Consider the following 20,912-nt stretch of genomic DNA (forward strand, 5'->3'; position numbering starts at 1 on the left):
ATCCTGCTGGGCAGCAAACCGTACTGCCCAGACATCCCCCTGCCAAACCTATAAATGACGCCAGCCTGTAAGCATCAGTGGGCTCTGACGTTAAGCTGGTCCTAGTGCTGGACATAAAAATCTGCTTTGCCGTAGAGCCGCCAACTCTCTCTCTATCTTTCTTTAGCCCTCGCCTTCCCTTCAAAACCCAACAGCCAGAAGAACCCAAATCTTGTGGAAAGGGAATCCCTTGGTCGCCATATAATTGAGTGTGATTTAAATGGCAGATTTTGTGTCATCTAGAATTATGTCCTAAGGTAACAATCTCCCATGTTGTGGCTGACCAGGTTGGAAGTCCACCATGATAGGCAGCTGTAGACCCTCCCCCCATCCCAAGGGATGGCTCATGATTAGCCTAATCCAATGGAGGTAATCCCATTCCCCTGTCAATGACTGGTTCAGGGATGGGGCAAGTAACCCAGTTTTACTCAAACAGATATTAGGAAATATCTTTGTGGCAGGAAAATAGGGTCTGGAGGCAGGGAACATAAGGCCAATTTACACATCGGCTGTGACAGGAAATGTCATCTCCATAGGCCATAGGCTGAGTAAATGACTTTGTAATTTTACTTCACCCTCTTCATTTATTTAAGACGTACACCAAGTAACCAGTGGAAACTTCTAGAGGGTATTTAAACCCCCAAAAATTCTGTAACGGTGCCCTGAGCCCCTATGCTTGGGCCCACTCCCACACTGTGGAGTGTACTTTCATTTTCAATACATCTCTGCTTTTGTTGCTTCATTCTTTCCTGGCTTTGTTTGTACGTTGTGTCCAATTCTTTGTTTAAGAAGCCAAGAACCTGGACACCCTCCATTGGTAACACCTTCTGTGCCTTCTAAGCAATATTTACCTCTTTGATAATAATTGTAATGTGAGAAAGCTCATCATTTGCCTCTGTCTTCCCGTCATGTTTTAGAGGCTGTTCTGGGAAGGAGCATTGGAAAGATGACACAAATTTAAGACTTAATCACAAACCTGTTCTGAATTTACCTCAGTCTTCTTAAGGAAATTACACATATCCTCATGGTTTTTTGTTTTGTTTTGTTTTGTTTTGTTTTGTTTTTTTTCAAGACGGAGTCTTGCTCTGTCACCCAGGCTGGATTACAGTGGCACAATCTCGGCTCACTGCAAGCTCCACCTCCCAGGTTCACGCCATTCTCCTGCCTCAGCCTCCCAAGTAGCTGGGACTACTGGCACCCACCGCCACGCTTGGCTAATTTTTTTTTGTATTTTTAGTAGAGACAGGGTTTCACCTTGTTAGCCAGGATGGTCTCAATCTCCTGACCTCGAGATCCGCCTCGGCCTCCCAAAGTGCTGGGATTATAGGTGTGAGCCACTGCGCCTGGCACACATATCCTCATGGTTTAAGGTTGGCTGAATCTTCTGTGCCGTGCACCTGGAAACATTTCCAATTAATACACTTGTTTCCTGTTTATACTTGTGTGGACCCCAAATATCAAAGACAGATCTCAGTCAATTTAGAAAGTTTATTTTGTCAGGGTTAAAGACACAGCCTCAGGAAGTCCTGAGACATGTGCCCAACGTGATCAGGGGTACAGTTTGCTTTTATACATTTTAGGGAGACGTGAGACATCAATCAATATGGATAAGATGTGCATTGGTTAGGTCTGTTAAGGCAGGACAACTCGAAGTGGGGGCTTCCAGGTTAGAAGTAGGTAAGAGACAAAAGGTTGCATTCTTTCGAGTGCTTGATCAGCCTTCCACTAAATACACAGTTTAGTCTGGCTCAGTGAATCTGCATTTTTACATAAACAATAGGGGAGAGGGAGCAATCAGACAGGCATTTGTGTCAGGGGAGTCACAGAGGGATGACTGAATAGAATGAGAGGCAGATTGGCCCTAAGCAGTTCCCAGGATGACTTTTCCTTTTAGTTTGTGATTTGGGGGTCCCAAGATTTATTTTCGTTTCACACCTGCTTATGCCAGCATTATTCCCTGTGTTTAACTTGGTTCATCCTGTGTTCTCCACTGACACAAACTTACAAAAATCTGAAAAAGTGTGGACTTCTGTGAGTGAGAATATTTTTGGAGAAGACTCTGATAAAACAAAACTATGACACAACAAACTCAACAAAAATATTCTTCAGGATATTGTACCTGTCTGAGTTTGATCAGAAAAATGGAGCCACCATAGTTGCTACAGGTGCAATTATTAGAAGTTTAATGGGCATAATATTGGAATTAGATGGTGGATGGAACTGGGAGAAGGAAGGTCTAGGAAGCGGCAGCAAGAAGATCAGAGGAAATGCAACTAAGGACTTGCCTAAAGCAATGGAAAAGCCAGGGCTCACAGAGAAGTCTGACATGCTGCTTTGAGCTTATGGAGAGCTGTGTGAAGCCAACACATTTACCTGCGTGGCCTGCCAGTGACAATAGCTTTCACCTCATTTTTGTCTTACACATTTCAATGTATTTCCTCTCATTGGGAGAGAGTTTTGGAAAGAGTTCCTAGGCTTAAGAGGAAGTAGTGGTAGGCTGGTTGTGGTGGCTCACATCTGTAATCCCAGCACTTTGGGAGGCTGAGGTGGGTGGATCACTTGAGACCAGGAGTTTGAGAACAGCCTGGCCAATAGAGCAAAACCCTGTATCTACTAAAAATACAAAAATTAGCTGGACGTGGTGGGGCATACCTGTAGTCCCAGCTGTTTGGGAGGCTGAGGCATGAGAATCACTTGAACCTGGGAGATGCAGATTGCAGTGAGCCTGGATTGTGCCTCTGCACTCCAGCCTGGGAGACACAGTGAGACTCAGTCTCAAAAAAAGAGGACATAGTGGGGTGGCTAAGTTAGCAAAAAATAATCCAACACAGATTTACATCTATCAAAGAAAGAGAAAAAAATAAGTTTGCAACCATCTTTCATTCATTCATTTATTCAAAATAATAATAATCTTGTATTATACACCAGTCACCATCCTGTACCTGGAATGACAGTTGCTATTGACTGAATTGTTTCATCCTAAAATTCATATGGTCAAACCCTAACTCTGCATGTGATGGGGCCTTTCCGAGCTGAATAAGTTTAGATGAGGTTGTGAGGGTCAGGTCTCCATGATGGGATGAGTGTCCTTATAAAAAAGACACTAGATACGCATGGATATATAGTAGACACTGGAGATATATAATAGACATTGGAGACTACCAAAGGTGGAAGGGTGTGCAGGGGGTGAGGGTTGAAAAATCACCTACTGGGTACAGTGTTCACTGTTCAAGTGATGGGGAGAAGCCCAGATTCCACCACTGTGTGATGTATGCACACAAGAAATCTGTACTTGTACCCCCTAAATCTATGGAAATTTAAAAAGCATATAAAAAGACATGGGAAAGCTTGCTCTCACTCTGTCTCACGTCCCTGTGAGGACACAGCAAGAAGGCTGCCATCCGCAATCCAGGAAGAGAGCCCTCACCAACACCCAACCATGCTGGCACCTTGATATTGGACTTCCCAGCCTCCAGAACTGTGAGACCATAAATTTCTGTTGTTTACGCTCCTCAGTTCATGGTGTTTTGTTATGGCAGCCCAAGCAGAATAAGATAGCCATGAATAGAGGAGACATGGTCCATCTTTATTATTGTTTTTATAATTATTTGATGATGACAATGGTGATGACGATGTTTCCATCATTGTACCTGTAAAGGCTTACTGGAAGGTTTTATTTCCCTTGGGAAGTAAATTTCACAACCCTTGAATAGTTGTTTGCTGTTCAGAAAACCTATTTAGGAAGTTTTAAATGCAAAATTTATGTCTGATCCCAAGCTAGATAGGGGATTGGAAGAGGTGAGATAATTAAGAGAAGAAGAAGCAGGTGGAGGGGAAAAGAAAGAGGAGGAAGAGGAAGATGGGAAAGATAAGATAAACAAAAAAAATACATTTTGTTTATTGTTTCTCATTTTTCCAAGAAATTAGATTTTTGTGGTATCAATTTCTCTGTAAATTCAGGAAAACCTCACCAAGATAAGCTATGCATGGTTGTTAGGCCAGGCGCAGTGGCTCATGCTTGTAATCCCAGCACTTCAGGAGACTGAGGCAGGAGGATCACCTCAGGTCAGGAGCTCAAGACTAGCCCAGGCAACATAGTGAAACCCCGTCTATACTGAAAATACAAAAATTGGCTGGGTGCAGTGGCTCACGCCTGTAATCCCAGCACTTTGGGAGGCCAAGGCGGGCGGATCACGAGGTCAGGAGATTGAGACCATCCTGGCTAAGACAGTGAAACCCCATCACTACTAAAAATATAAAAAATTAGCCAGGCATGGTGGCGGGCACCTGTAGTCCCAGCTACTAGGGAGGCTAAGGCAGGAGAATGGCATGAACCCGGGAGATGAAGCTTGCAGTGAGCTGAGATCATGCCACTGCACTCCAGCCTGGGCAACAGAGCGAGGCTCCATCTAAAATAAATAAATAAATAATAAATAAATAAAAATAAAAATAAAAAACAAATTAGCTGGGTGTGGTGGCAGGAACCTGTGATTCCAGCTACTCAGGAGGCTGAGGCAGGAGAATTGCTTGAGCCCAGGAGGTGGAGGTTGCAGTGAGCCGAGATCACACCATTGCACTCCAGCCTGGGTGATAAGAGTGAAATTCCGCCTCAAAAAAAAAAAAAAAAAAAAGATGTGAATGGTGGTTAGTGACAATTTCAATGTTTATGAGCTGAGGGTGATGGAATTTTGAGTTATCACCTGATGTTCATGTATTTTCTACTTCTTTACAGCATCAGTGTCCACTGGCAATGAGCTAGCCACATTGAGGCAGCCCAGGTTCTAGGCTTGAATGGTTATTGATGAAGACTGCATGCCCTGAGTTTTAGTTCTAGTTTCCAGAACTCCCTTCCAATGAGAGGAAAACAAATAAGGTGTCTAAGACAGAAATAAAGTGAAAGTCATTATCCCTGGAAGGCCATGCCGGTAGATGTGTCTGTCCCGCAGAGCTTTCCACAAGCCTGAAGCAGGGGATCACAGGTCTCTGAGCTGCCCTCTTCAGCTGCTTCTGGCTGAAGTCATCAGGTGTGGGCATGTGCTCTCATCTATATCTTCTCATCAGAGGGTACTGTTTTTCCCACTTCTTTCAAGAAAAAAGGTAGTAACCAGACTTAGGCAATCCTTCATGTAGTAAGGAGAAAGAAATGGAACACAATTCTCCGTCAGGAATTCTGGCTTTACTCTGACAATTTTACAATTTCACATTAGTGACTCCTGCAGCAAATGCATGTATTTATGTTCAGATTAAACTGATACAGGGGAGACGATGACTAGAGCCAGCATTTCCTGAGCTGTAAATGGAGGATATGCCATAATGAATTTCAGGTTCCATGAAGCTTTTGCGTAAATAAATTCATGACACTAAGAATTGGGGAATAAACATTTTAGAGGACAGTCGCATTCTAAATGAGAATTGCTAAGAGTGGGAGGCCCCTGTCATTTATTGGATTAGTTATGGAACTGTACATGAGCCTGCAATATTTGTTCTGCTGCTGTGGTGTGACCGGTGAAATGAAAAGATGCGTCTGGGGAGTGCTCAGTAAATGTTCCTCTTCTTTCTGCCATTGTTTTTATAGCTCTGGGAGGAATCTGCCACTCAGAGTTAGAAATTAATATCATACTTGTATGAGAAACAAAAGTGAAGATACGAGATGGAGACGTTTTGGCCTCAGAACAGTAACTCCACTGATTGAGTTAAATGTGTTTAACTCAGGCAGAAAGACGTGCTACCTGTGTGACACCATCATAGCTCCCAGCAGCCAACAGGAACACGTGCAGCCACTAAGCTGGAGGGAGAACGCCTGGTAAACCAGATGTCCCTAGCTCTCGAGTCTGTGTGTTTTAAATGTCTTGGAATTATTTGTGGATATTGACAGATTGAAATTCATAGATCTCCAGCTCACAGATAGCGTGGGATATTTCCAAATTCCCCAAGTTAATTTGTAGCTGAAAATGGAATTTCAGTCTCTTACACTGTATGGTTGGAAAACTATTTAGTGAATCCATATGTGTTCCTGGGGGGCATTTTGAGGACATTTGCTGAGATTGACAAATATTTCCAGTATTGTGTCTCTCCATACCCACAATAGCATTAAGTGGAGGCGTCTGGGATTGAGCCATCACACATCTATCTAACCACATTCGCTCAAATGTGATGGGCCAAGGCCTTCAGACATGACCAGGTAACTATAGGTTGAATTTAAATCAGTACTTTGCCTAAGAGAGATGAAGAGAAAAATGCACACAGGTAATTGACTCAACTAACATACTATGAATCTAGGAGGAACAAACAATAGAAATTGGGACTTTTAATGTTTTATTTTAAAGCAGAAAACAGGTCATGTGGGCTACACTCAAAACACAGAGAGGGCCCCTCCTTCCCGTCGTCAGGGCAGCCACACCCTCTCCCCTCCAGGCACCAGGCTCTTCCTGTGTTCTCTAATGTCTGGTAGGGCAGGACTCTTGAACCCCATCTACACAGCAGCAGGGGCTTGGGATTCATTGTTCGTTTTTTGCTTCTAAGAAAAGAGCACATTCAGGGTATATGGAAAAGTAAAATAGATAATATTTTTTCTGAGTAGCATAATACGTGCTCTCATGATCTTTGGGGCTGAAAAGAAAGGTACCAGCCTGCTGTCTCTCCTGCTGTGGCAGAACCTGCAACCTCCAGTTGAGAAGTCCAAGTCTTTGGATGGAGGGGCTTCCTTCGGCCTGAGTTCCTGAGACAGAACAACGGGAAACAGATCCTGTGACCTCTCACATTGTGACAATGCCAAATCAACTGTGTTGTTTTAAGTCTTGGAAAATTTGGGGTTGTTACCTTAGCAAAATCCAGCTTTTTTGGAATAGCCCCAAATCTGAAGTTTCTTATAAACAAAAGGGAAGCAACGTTAGGTCCCTACCGTATAAAGTTATTGGGAGAATCATACACAACACCACACTGGAAATCATCATCATAAAATCTTGCAATTGTGATAAATTTGTATCTTGTTTAATTTATTATCATTAGGAAAGGCAGAAAAAGAACATTGTGTATTCTGGAAATGCTGGGTCATCCTGGGTGACTGGAGCAGGCTGCACGGGGAGGAAGGATGGGTGATGTGTCTGGTGGTGGGAGCCTGCCTGTGGAGGGCCACTGGGCTCCAGCTAAGCTATTGGCCTTTATTCAGTAGATCCTTGGAGCTATAAAGCATTTTCAAGTGTTGAAGCAAACTAAACATGGCCTGAGAAAGACTCCGTACTTCTATAATTAAGTCCTTGTGGATAAACTGCAACCCGACTTAATAGGTAGACAGGACTGAAAACCTAACTGAGCAGTATGCGCCTTTAACAATCGCTGAGTCTTGGTCAATCCCAGAGGCCATACTTCAACCAGTCATATACTGCTGAGTGTTCAAACTGTGTTCAAATAAGGCAAACGTCCAGCTGTTACCAATCCAGCTGTTTGGTACCTCACTTCCAATTTCTGTATATCACTTTACTATTTTGGTCTATAAATTTGTTCTCATCACGAGGCACATCTGGAGGCACCTCTCTGAATGTGCTGATTCTGGGGGCTGCCCAATTCACAAATCATTCATTGCTCAATTGAAGTCCTTTAAATTTAATGTGGCTGAAGTTTTTCTTTTAACACAAGTAATGAGTGACACATGTTGGTGATTGGATAGATATCCATTAAGACTGGTAGAATGGAATGAAGTAGAGCCTAGAAACAGGAAATTGTGCCACCATTTCTCCAGCCAGGCTGAGTGGGCAGGAATGTCTGTGGACACCATATTGCTGGCCCAGTGACTGGAAGCTCAGGATGTCCCGGAGGCTCTGGCACCTCCCAACTGCACCAGCCAATGCAGCCAGCACTCCTGTCACCGTGCATACCACACACTCGTTTGGACACATCTATGAACACCCTCTTCTATGATTTGTTTTCTCAATTATTTTGTGATTACATCTTTCCTTTAATTTTTTGTACATTTATGTGGAAAATGTATATAGGTTGAACTTTATGAATTCTGCACATCCAGGTAGAAATCCAGAACATTAACTGAGTCCTACGTAAACTTACAAAAATGTTCCAAAGTGTAAAACCACAATCTATGAGATAGGGTTACAGGGGCACTTGTTTCTTCCCAAGGGACTCACTGGGAGCTACCAGTGGTCTCAATCTGATTCACTGTCTGAGTCTGTTTGGGCTAAGTCTCATACCATATATCGGGTGGCTGAGACCACAGAAATGTATTCTCAGATGTCTGGAGGCTGGAATGTCCAAGATCAAGGAACCAGCAGATTCGGTGTCCGGCCTCATAAATCACCTGCTGTCTTCTCCCTGTAACCTCACAGGGCAGAAGGGGCCTCCCTGGGGCCTCTTTCATAAGATCACTCATCCATTCATAAGGGCTCCACTCCCACGACTTAATCCCCTCTTAAAGGCTCTATCCCCAAATACCATCACCTTGGGAATGAGGGGTTCAAAACAGAAATTTGAGGGGGACACAGACATCCAGACCCTAGCACTCACCTTCCTCCTATTTGCACATCCCATCGACCTTTCAATCCCTGTTGATGGTTAGGAATAGGAAAATCACTGGGGATGACCTCCCCAGACGGTGTTTGATTAGGTGACTAAGTGAGGAACGGGGCAATGTACTTACTCCTGAGACACTCCATGGGCACAACAGGTGGGTGATCTCTGACCTTCTCTCTGCCAAGGATGATGTTGATACCTTTCCCTACATCCTACATGTGACCTAAAAAGTAACAAGGACTAGATGGTGATATTGGCAAGAATAACATTCTTGATTGAGCACTTAACATGGGCCAGGAACTCTTCTTAGAGCTTTGCATTTATTACATCATTTTAACTTCACAAGAGCCCTGAGATACAGGAACTATTAATATCCCCAGTATACTAACAAGGAAGCAAGGAGAAGTCAAATGAGTCCCCAGTTCACATGGCCAACAGGCAGTAGGGCAGGACTCTTGAACCTTGTCTACACAAGAGCAAGCCAGTAGGACAGCCCTGTCTACACAGCAACAGTCCAGTAGGGCAGGACTGTTGAGTCTATTCTACACCACAGCAGACTGTAGGGCAGCCTTGTCTACACAGCAGCAGTCCAGTAGGGCAGGACTCTTGAACCTCTACACAGCAGCAGGCTCATGGCCTTAGGTACTCTCTACCGTATTCCATGAAAGACAGTGGGATATGGGCTTCAAGTCACACTTACTGGAGTCAGACTGCCTGGGTCAACGTCTGGTCTGTCTTTACAGCTTATTGCCCGTGTGACTTTGGGAAAGGCTTTTTAAGTGTTTATCTCAATTTCCATACTTGAAAATAAAGCATCAGTGAGTTGAATTGTTAGGACAATACACAGTACAGAGTAATAACTTTGAAAGTGTCATTATTATCATCATTTTACTTTTCTGTCTTTCAGTTGCTACACTGAGTTGTTCAAGGTGGTCGCTTTCTCAGTTAGGAATCCCTAACCCTTTTCAGTAAAATTGTACCCCCAGTCACCAAGTACTCTCTTCCTCTTCCTGGCCTTACTGTTATCAGTTGCACTTACGGTCATCTGATACACTATGTATTTAACTTACATACTTGTTTATTGTCGGTCTTCCCCCATTAAAATATAAGCCCCATGAGTGGAGGCTTTCATCTACCTTTATATCCCATGCTATATATCCCAGCCCTAGGCAGTACCAGACAAATAGGTGCTCAGAGAAGAGCTGGTATCTTTTTAATCAATGTGGTTAACAGTCCACTTCAGGGCAGGCAACCCCTCAATGCTGAGAAGGAATGAGGTTTTTGATGGAGCCTTGACCCTCCCAAGAAATCCATTCTCCCTCTTGGAAAAGCTCCCTGGTGGGCCATTACACATCACTTTATTACATCCAGCCACCTGCAAGATGACCATTTTATCACCACCTATTCATCATGTTGTCTGCTTTTTGGAAGTGCTGTATTAAAATGTCGCCCACATCCCCATCTGCAGCAGAATCTCTCCTTGTTAGGTACTGCGTGATCATGGTCAATGCAGGCGATAACGTACAAAATGTTGGCCTAGGAGGAGATTTCTGCACAACTAGTTGGTGGTTCAAAACACTAGAGAAATAAACTGTATGCCCATTAAAGACTCAGTGAAAAGGCTTAACAAGCACAATGAGAATGATGGCTGAGAAATGACTGGGAAGTGTGCACCACCACACTTTATACCCAGCTGTGCAATGGGGAGGCTGTGGCTGCACCTGTCAATCAGCCAGTGCTGTCAAGGGCTGGATGAGGGGTGACCTCCCTCCCTCATGGGGAGCTGCCATGGAGGTGGCCTATGAGAACCCAGAAGTGTCTTGTCCTACACAAAGGTTTATTTTACTGCAGCAGGGGGTAGCTGGTCTCTCAGTCTCTGTCCGTGGAGCAGAATACAATCTTGTCTTGCTTCTGTTTCTGCTTCATTGTCAAATTAGCCCAGTTTCCACATTAGTAAAATAAGGGTAACAGTAGCATCTGCCATTATTCGCTACCACAATTAACTGTCTTAATGCTTGGTGCTTAGATTCGGGGGTCTGGTTTATAATGAGGTGTTGAGCAAGCCTAGTCTATTATTATTATGATTTATTTCTAGCCACCCTCTCTGTTGACCGTTTCCTCCATCTGCTCTGGTTCTGATCCTTCCTAGGTTTGGGGGTCTCACAAATACCTTATAACCTCAAGTCCCCCTGGTGTTGGACCTTAGCTCTGTATCACTGACTGGCCCAGGGGTTCCAAAGGAGAGTGTATTAGTCCATTTTCACATTGCTATGAAGAAATACCCAAGACTGAGTAATTTATAAAGGAAAGAGGTTTAATTGACTCACAGTTCTGCATGGCTGGGGAGGCCTTAGGAAACTTACACTCATGGCCGAGAGGCAGGCACCTTCTTCACAGGGCGGCAGGATGGAGTGAGGGCAAGCAGAGGAAATGCCAGATGCTCATAAAACCATCAGATATCGTGAGAATTCACTATCATGAGAACACTATGAGGGAAACTGCCCCCATGATCCCATTATCTCCACCTGGTCTTGCCCTTGACATGTGGGGATTATGGGGACTACAATTCAGGATGAGATTTTGGGTGGGGACACAGCCAAACCATATCAGAGAGGGTATATGCCTGTCGCACCTAGATCCAGTGTGCACACCTGTTCTCATAGCTGTGGCTCCAGGGACGAGGGCACAAAGATGGAGAAAGGAGGTTCCTTCCAGGTTGGTGAGCTGGGCAGCCTGTTTAGGAGACTTGATGAGGAGCAGAAGGTGTGCATTCCTCAGGTCTCTGTTCTTCAGTGTCATGGGACAGTATTTGAACACCAGGACTTGCTCCTTTGTTCTTAACACCTGAGGAGCAAGGGATCTCAGTGCTCAGAGGCCCCGAGACCCTGTGTGCCTGGCCCACCTTCCTCCATGACCTTCGCTCCACCCTCCCATTCCCCACAAACCACACAGCCATGTGCCAGTTCTACGACCCAGGATGGTTCCTACTTCTGGGTGTTTCCATTTGAGCCATCCCCTTTCCATAGAACCCTTTTCTTGTGGGATCATTCAGGTCATTCTCAATAGTTCTAGTCCTTCTCACACACCAACCTGTTTCATATCCTTCAAAGTATTCCTCATTGTCAAATATTATCTTATGCGTTTACTTTTCACCAATTTATTGTATTACTTTTCTCACTAGACGACAAGCACCATGAAACGGGGGTGTTGCTGCTGTCACCCACAATGTACCCACAAGGCGTACATAGAGGGGCTGTCATTTTTTAAAACATTGAATGAATAATCTGGCGTCTCTGTCTTTTCTTAGCTAAGATTCCTATTCCTCCTTTCCCTTTACTTGCTCCAAAAGTGAGGTCAGATTTAAATGCACTGTGATCTGATCTCTCTGCGAGTCAAGGTATGATACCAGCCAGGTATTTTCTCCTCTCTATTTCCACTTTCCATCAACCACCCAACCCTGAAACTGAAATGTGACTGGTCTTGGCAGTCAGTTGTGTGTTTCAGATAAATATGTGTGGGCGGGTCATTGTAACACTATGAATTTCCGATAAGCCAGGATTTCAGCCACCAGAGAAGTCAAACGGATGGACTGATTGTGGATGTCCCTGGAAGGCCGGCCCTGAGACTGAGTGAGTGGCCCTGTTCTGTGCTGTGCAGAATCCTGACCACACACAGCACAGAGGCCTGGGGAGGGGAGTCACTGCCCCCGAGAGCATGTGTTCTTGAAAAGTGCAATGACCTCCCTGGCACAGGACCCGGTGACTGTTGTCTCCCGGTAAATATCTGCTAAATGAATCGATGAGTAGACTAATGTGTGGATGAAATCTACTTCTCTGATGGTGAAAGACTCATCAAATCAACACACCCTGCTCAGGAGTGGAAGTGGGTCCATTGCAAAACATTTTGTGCTCCACCATGTGGAGCAATGCCACCTAGATTTCTATGCCTCGCCATTTAGCTCCAAGGGTTCAGTAGCCGACAGGCCCCACCTGCTAAGGTGGTCCAGATCTGCCTCTGTTGTTGAGCCGAGGCCACGCTCCTCCCGGGCAGCCGGTTGATGATGGAGCAAAGCGCTGCAGAGATGTTGGGGTCTGACCCATTCCCTCTAATGCAGCACTCCTCTAATGGGCAACCCCCTCCCCACGGCTGGAGCCCCCTCTGTGCTGGCTTGGGCTTTGTCAGATCCCTTTCCCACTTCCTCCCTCTTCTAATGTTCAGAGGTGTGATGGTTAATATTGAGTGTCAACTTGATTGGATTGAAGGATGCAAAGTATTATTCCTGGGTGTGTCTGTGAGGGTGCTGCCAAAGGAGATTAATATTTGAGTCGGTGGACTGGGAAAGGCAGACCCACCCTCAATCTGGGTGGGCACCATCCAGTCAGCTGCCAGAGCAGCTAGAGTAAAGCAGGCAGAAGAAGGAGGAAGTAACCTACTTGCTGAGTCTTCTGGTCTTCCTCTTTTTCCCATGCTGGAGGTTTCCTGCCCTCAAACATCAGACTCCAAGTTCTTCAGCTTTTGGACTCTTGGACTTAGGTGTGCCAGGGGCTCTGGGGCCTTCAGCCATAGACTGAAGGCTGCGCTGTCGGCTTCCCTCCTTTTAAGATTTGACTTCCTTGCTCCTCAGCTTAGATTCCTTGCTCCTCAGCTTGCAGACAGCAAATTGTGGGACTTCACCTTGTAACTGTGTGAGTCAGTACTCCTTAATAATCTCCCCTTCATATAAACATCCATCCTATTAGTCCTGGCCCTTTAGAAAACCCTGACTAATACAATGAGTATTGCCTCCAGTAAACTGCCGGCACCCTGCACTCCTAACACTATTTCAGCATCTACTTCCCAGAGAGGCAAATTAAGGATGTTTTTCCCATGCATACATCAGAGATGCCAAACTGTTCAGTTAGTTTAGAAAGACTGAATTATTTGACAACACATAAACACTGGAAGGCCCCAAGTAAAATATAGCTCTACTGTCTTTTCCTGTGAAGATGGGAGCTCTGGTAACTGGACTCCTCTTCCTACCTGGCAGCCAGCATGGTGGTGAGAAGTCCCCTTTGCAAGGGGTCTCTCCTCCCAGTCTCCCCCAGCCCCCACCCCTCACCGTTTATCAGAGACATGGGGGGGTGAACAGAAGTTACAGTCATTAGGATGTTTGTGCTGGATTATTTCCAGCACAAAATAATCCAGTGGGAAGTGGACCCACTTCCACTCCTGAGCAGGGCATGTTGATTTGATGAGTCTTTCATCCTCAGAGAAGTAGATTTCATCTACTTATTAGTCTACTTATTGATTCATTTAGCAGATATTTACAGGGAGAAGCATTCACCAGGCCCTGTGCCAGGGAGGTCATCGCACTTTTCAAGAATGCACTCTTGGGGGGCAGTGATGCCCCTCCCCAGGCTTCTGTGCTGTGTGTGGTCAGGCGTAAAAGGGAAATTAAACGTTTTTTGAAAGCCATGGTCTTTATGGGTAAGCAGAAGAGAAACTAATAGGATCAGTTATTTCTAGTGAAGGGGAAGAGTCCATAGTTGTTTTGGAAAGTTTTTAAAATGCAAATACAATTATGGGTCTTAGGAAATTCCACAGTGTGCTTCATCTTACCACCTACCTAGCCCCCTGTGGGGCCTGGATGCTGTCCCCAGCCCCGTGAGATGACAGGGGTCATTGCAAATTTCCTGAGCACTGGGGCCAAGTATAGATGGGGTGATGGCTGCAAGGTCGGGTCAAGGTCAATGCTGTGCCCTGCCTGCTCTTCCTGCTCTTCTGACCCTGGCTGAATCCATGCAGTCTGCTTTAGGAAAATCGTTTCATTTGAATAAGATGTTGAGAGTCGTATGATCCCAGAACAAGTTGGACATGGCAGCTGTCTCCTTGGCCAGCCTCCGGCCGAGCTGCGGTGCCCTTTATCTCAACTTCACTGAGTCTCCTACATCTTGAAACTTGAAAAAATTTATTATTTAGCTGAATTCTTCATTTCATTCCATTTAGGGATGAGCATTTAGGAGGGCAATAAAAGTAAAGTTGGGTAAAAATAAAAGCCCTTCTTTTGTTAATGAGAGACATCTGTTTATTCCTTTTTTCTTCTAATGTGCATTTGCTTAATAGGCAAGTTTTTATTTAAATATCAGTTGAGGCTCTCATGACTTGGAGAAATGTATCAGAGTCATGGCCATTTTTTTTTCTTGGTAGTTAAAGATGCATTGAGTAAGGCTGCTGGCATTTACTGGGATGAGGAAGACTGGGAGGGGGAGGAGCAGGTTTAGGAAAAAGGGGTGAAATAAAGGGCTTGAGAAGGCATGTCCCTGTGCTAGGTGGAATAATGGTCCTCTGAAGATGTCCACGACCGAATCCCCAGAACCTGCGAATACCTTACCGTACGTGGAAAATGAGACTTCGCAGATTTGCTTAAGAAAAGGATTTTGCTATGGGAGAGATGATCCTGGATGATCCATGGGCCACTGACATGGTTTTGATCTGTGTTGTCGCCCAAATCTCATGTCAAATTGTAAATCCCAGTGTTGGAGGTGGGGCCTGGTGGGAGGCAGATTTCCCTCTTGGTGCTATTCTCACGATCCTGAGGGAGTTCTCCTGAGATCTGATCATTTAAAAGTGCATGGCACCTCCCCCGCCTCGCCTCCCCCCACCTCACTTCCCCCGCTTCGCCTCCTCCCACCTTGCCTCTACCCTTCCCACCCCCGCCCCCACCTCGTCTCCCCACACCTGGCCTCTACCCACATCCCCCACCGCCCCCGCTTTGCCTCCCCCCCCCGACCCGACCCCACCCGACCCGCCTTGCCTCCTGCTCTTGCCATGTCTGATGTGCCTGTTTCCCCTTCACCTTCCGCCATGATTGAAAATTTCCTGAGGCCTCCCCAGAAGGCAAGCAGCTGCCAGCATCATGCTTCTTGTACATCCTGTGGAACTGGGAGCCAATTAAGCCTGTTTTCTTTATAAATTACCCAGTCTCAGGTATTTCTTTATAGCAATGCAAAACTAATGCGACTCATACAGGGACCATGTCATCCCAAGGCTCCTTGTAAGAGTGGGCAGGAGGGTCAGTCAGAGAAGATGATGCGAGGGCAGGAACCAAGGAATGTGGCGCCTCTGGAAGCTGGGAGAAACACGCAGACGGATTCTCCGCTAGAGCCTCCAGATGAAACGCAGCCCTGCTTGTACCATAATCTAAGGACTTCTGACCTTTAGAACTATAGGATAGTAAGGCCGGGAGCGGCGGCTCACGCCTGTAATCCCAACATTTTGGGAGGCCAAGGCGGGCAGATCACCTGAGGTCAGGAGTTCGAGACCAGCCTGGCCAACATGGTGATACCCCATCTCTACTAAAAATACAAAAATTAGCCAGGCCTGGTGGCACATGCCTATAGTCCCAGCTACTTGGGAGGCTGAGGCAGGAGAATCGCTTGAACCCAGGAGGCAGAGGTTGCAGTGAACAGAGGTTGCACCAGTGCACTCCAGCCTGGACGACAGAGAGAGACTCCATCTCAAAAAATAAAAATAAATAAAAAAAAAGAACTATACAATCATAAATTTTGTGTGTGTGTGTGTGTGTGTGTGTGTGTGTGTGTGTGTGTTTAGGCTGCTGGATTTATGGTGATTTATTACAGCAGCAACAGCAAATGAAAATGGTCTCTAGGCACATTGCTCCCTCAATGCTGCAGATCACATTCAATATTAAGAGATTTCATTGGCAGATGGGCCAGGAGTACAGCCATGAACAGTATTTTTATGGCATCGGGTAATAACAATAAAGCTAATCTTCATATGGTGCTTCTTACGTGGGGAAGATACTGTTAATATTGGCTCATTTAGTTTTCACAACAAACCTGTGAGGCAGGCGTTTGCACCATTCCCGGTGGCAAATGAAGAAACTGAGGCCCAGAGATGCAGAGCACATGGCTCCAGGTCACCCAGCTGGCAGGAGAGAGAGATGGGATCTGACTCAGGCTGTCTGGCTCCAGATTCCAGGACCCTAACCACTGCCCTGAACTGCCTCTTCTGGAAGACTGTGTTTTGAATACAAAATTTGCACTCACAGAATCATAAGTGACCTTTCATAGAATTTCACCAAGTGATTCTCACAGCATATAATTTCTTAATTAGGGAAATTATACCAAAAAAAAGCACACTGGGGACTTGCAAATACATACTCTGAATTTACAAAATTTGGCAAAGGCTATCCAAGTGAAGGAATTTACAACGACCTTTGAGAAATATTAGCAGAACCATATGCCTTTGTAGTTACTATTATTATTAACCTGTATATACATATAATATGCTCTATCATTTTATTTATTTATTTTTTGAGATGGAGGCTCACTCTGTCGCCCAGGCTGGAGTGCAGTGGTATGATCTCAGCTCACTGCAACCTCTGCCTCCCGGGTTCAAGCAATTCTCGTGCCTCAGCCTCCCAAGAAACTTCGATTACAGGTGCACGCCACTATGCCTGGCTAATTTTTGTATTTTTTGGTAGAGACGGCATTTCACCATGTTGGTCAGGCTGGTCTTGAACTCCTGACCTCAAGTGATCTGCCCACCTCGGCCTCCCAAAGTGCTGGGATTACAGGCATCAGCCACCGTGCCCTCGGCCATAATAAGCTGTTTTTAAAATGCTTTTATCTTAATTTCCTTTAAGTATCCTCAATCATCTTTATTTCTTGGTCCAGCAAACCCTTTTATCTTAGACATGACAAAGGTCCTGTTTATTCCAAATTAGATGAATTGTTCATGTATTCTGCATAAGTAATGGACTCTAATGTAGCTTTATAGAACCTGCAAAATAATTAACGATCATTGTTGGTTTCGAGTTTGCAATGGAGACGTGGATTTTTTGAACCACCTGCAAATGACTTCGTAAACAGTTTAAATGTGTTTCACTGCACCTGAGTAAAAATCGCCCTTTTACTATTCTTATAATCATTATTACAAAAGCTGTTTAAATTACTATTTAATTGCATCTGAACTACTTAAATAATTTAAGGTAAAATTAAACTTTTAATGTGTGACTAAATCTCCTTAAGATCCTAACCTTAACCCTAACCCTCTCCCTTCTCCCCTCAGCAATTTCAGCACCTAACATAGAGGTAACCAGCAATAATGGTTGAGGATAAATCATGTTGTACTCTTGCTGGGTATTTTCTTCCACACAGATGTAACTGTGTGTTCTATTTTGGAGTTTGTTTTTCATAGTACACACAGGATGCCTCAGTTTGCCCCACTGTCTCCATGCTAAGTGGTATCAGGAACTAAAGTGGCATTTTTATCAGTGGCCTAAAATGCCTCCTTATCAACTACCATTGCCAGCTCTGCCACTTTTGGGGAAGCTGGTGTGGCAGGCTCTGTCTTCCTTCCTTACTTCTGTTCTTTATCCCAGAACTGAGGAGAAGGGGCATCTCTGGAGCATAAGGGAGGCTTGCAGGGTCCTTGCTCTGTGCAAAGCCCCTCCCAGCCAGCCAGTTTCCCTTTAGAGCCCTCCTGATTAATCACTCACTCATCAATCTCCTCTCGCTGAAGTCGCTACAGCTAAGCCAAGCTGTAGCAAAGATTTGGATCTAATATTCAAAATTTAAATGTAATTCTCCCTCCTAATGCCTAAAAAGGTTGCAGTTTGGCTCCAGTTCTTGAAAGTGGCCTTTCACAGAATCTCACCAAGTGGATTCTCCCAGCAATAAGGTGCCATCTCTGCATTTGACTTCAGGGTGAGCTTATTCGCACTGAATAAGCAGAACCAGTTCAAGGAACAGAGGCTATTTCCTGGGCTTTGGGGTGGCCTGAGAGAGTGGGCACACATGCCACCTTCCCCAATTCACCTCTCTGTCTATACGAAGGATAATAATTCCATCTTTAAATGTTCCAAATAACTAAGCAAACTTGTTGGGAACCTTCCTTCAAGCTTTAAGAGGGAAGTCACATCCTGTCAGATAGATCTTTATTTTGTGCTTCAAAACCTAATGAAGAAGAATCCTTTCCTACTCACACTTCCCCGATGTGGGGTGAGAATGAAGTCATGCTTTGGCAAATGTGGTCCCTGAGACCATCTGTCCCTTGGGCAGCATTACATACCTGCCCAATTCCTGCTCCTCATGGAAGCATCTGGGTTAAATAAGTGTAAACAGACCAGCTGAGAATTTGAGATTGTTTCTTTCCACTTAAGACTTAGAGATCTTTGCTTTTGTTCTTGTTTTCTACGTTTTATTATGTCCTATTTGGCTCTCTTCAATTCAGAAAGTGTTTTAAAATAATCAAATAGCCTCCATCCTGTGCCTGGCTTTGTGTTCTAGGGACACTGCATAGGGACAATTTAAGCCCAAGAGCAGCCCACAATGTGCTCACAGTCCAGGGAAGAGATGGCCACGTAGACAAGGAAGACCCACAAGCTTGCAGAGCCACACTATCTGGGATCGTCACTGGCTTTTCATTTTACTAGCATGAGTTTCTCTGAAGTTGTTCTTTATTTATAGCACTTTCTCTTTGGAGCATCAATTGAGTAGGACTGAATGCCTAATAAATTAGCCAGCCTGGATGTGACAAGATGTTCTCAATTCACAGTAGATCATCAGCCACCAGTGCCATTGCCATTGGCTTTGCCTTGACCAATTGTCATTGCTGATAATTAATTACAGCTCCTAAATCCAAGATATCATTATAGAGATAATAAATAATAGAAAGGTTTTCTGTTGGATTCTCTATTTATTTTATTGTGAATTCCCATCCCTTCCCTTCTCCCAGAGAGCTCTTGGAATGGATTGTATGCCAAATTCTAATTCTCATTCTTAGATCTTGCATACCTGTTTTTCTCTCCTGCACCAGAACAATTTTTTTATTTCTTTATATTGTCTATTATTCCAACACTAAAAGGAAATAATTCGGTGAACATTGACCTTAGTATGGGCAGAATGTTAATTAACACTGGGAAAAATGCCAGAGTGCCTTCAGGTGCCATCCAAGAAACAATTGTTTTACTTTTAATTGCAAAGTTCTGCATAGAAAGTGAGAATAAGAAGCAGGTCCTCATTGTTGAATCAGATAGCTGAAAAAGGGCCAACTCTGAGGAGTGGCTTTCTTCGCCAGGGCGTTCTGCGTTCTGCTAGTAAAAGCCTGGTTCTGAATTTTTTTTTTTTTTTTTTTTTTTGAGACAGAGTCTTGCTCTGTCGCTCAGGCTGGAGTATGATCTTGGCTCACTGCAACCTCCACCCCCTAGGTTCAAGCAATTCTCCTACCTCAGCCTCCTGAGTAGCTGGGATTACAGGCATGCGCCACCGCACCCAGCTAATTTTTGTATTTTTAGTAGAGACGGGGTTTCACCATGTTAGCCAGTGTGGTCTTGAACTCCTGACCTCAAGTGATCCGCTTGCCTCGACCTCCCAAAATGCTGAGATTACAGGCATGAGCCACCGTGCCCAGCCTGGTCCTGATTTTGTTGTGAATTGTGGTTTTGATGCAACAGGAACTCATAGGTAAAAATGGTTGCTCCCAAAAAAGGAACTGTTTTTGATCCTTGAAGAGAATTACCAAAATTACTGAATAAAATAAATCAAATAATGTGTTTAAGGGAACACAGTCAAGGTTTCCGGTTCTTACTCTGCAACAGAGGTGAGAGACTGGGCTTGTTGCTTTTTGTTTCTCTGAACCTCATGTTCCCTTATCAGAAAAATGAGAGAGTGGGTAAGTTCCAGGTGTCTCAAGCATTTAGGGGGCGATATGTATCCAGTGTTGTACTGATCAAAGCCAAAATCTCCCACAGTGAACCCTGGAAGACCATGCAAACTGTGTCTCCATCTTGGAGTTTCATGAGGTGTAATTAAAATATTAATGATCCTGAAGGTCCTGCAAGAAAGAAACTTGTTTAAATGTGCATGATTCTTCTTTTATTCCATTCACTTCCTTCTCAAATATAGGAATATAAAAAAGGGATGGATATGAATGTACTACATGCCTAAACTATGGTAATTTAAGTCAACAACCCTGATATATCACTTTGCTAGGGTTCCCATAACAAACCACAGCAAACTGAGCTGCATACACAACAGAAATGGATTCTCTCACCATTCTGCAGGCCAGAAGTTTGATATCAAGGTATTGGCAGGGCCATCATCCCTCTGAGGGCACTGGGTGGGGGGTCTCTTTTCCTCTCTTTTTGAAACCTGGTGAAATTTTGGCATTCCGTGGCTTGTAGCAGCAGCATAACTATAATATTTACATGATGTTCTTTCTGTGTGTGTGTCTTTGTGTCCCAAAATTTCTCTTTTTCTTAGGACACCAGCCATTTTGGATTGGGGTTCCATACATCTGCAATGGCCCTAGGAGAGTCAAGATTTCAACCTATGGGTTTTGGCAGGGGA

The 20,912-nt window shown here is 44.6% G+C and overlaps 1 long non-coding RNA gene across 1 annotated transcript; it reads right to left on the reverse strand.

Moving 5' to 3' along the window:
• Positions 6,338-13,030, reverse strand: LOC105370068 (uncharacterized). Its single transcript, NR_134995.1, has 4 exons — positions 12,993-13,030; positions 8,687-8,782; positions 6,669-6,757; positions 6,338-6,556 (listed from the first exon to the last, which is right to left on the reverse strand). It is a non-coding gene; the product is annotated as an uncharacterized LOC105370068 (long non-coding RNA).
• Between the last annotated feature and the right edge of the window lie 7,882 nt (positions 13,031-20,912).

The sequence above is a fragment of the Homo sapiens genome, chromosome 12 (assembly GCF_000001405.40).
Source record: "Homo sapiens chromosome 12, GRCh38.p14 Primary Assembly".
NCBI classification, from domain to species: domain Eukaryota; kingdom Metazoa; phylum Chordata; class Mammalia; order Primates; family Hominidae; genus Homo; species Homo sapiens.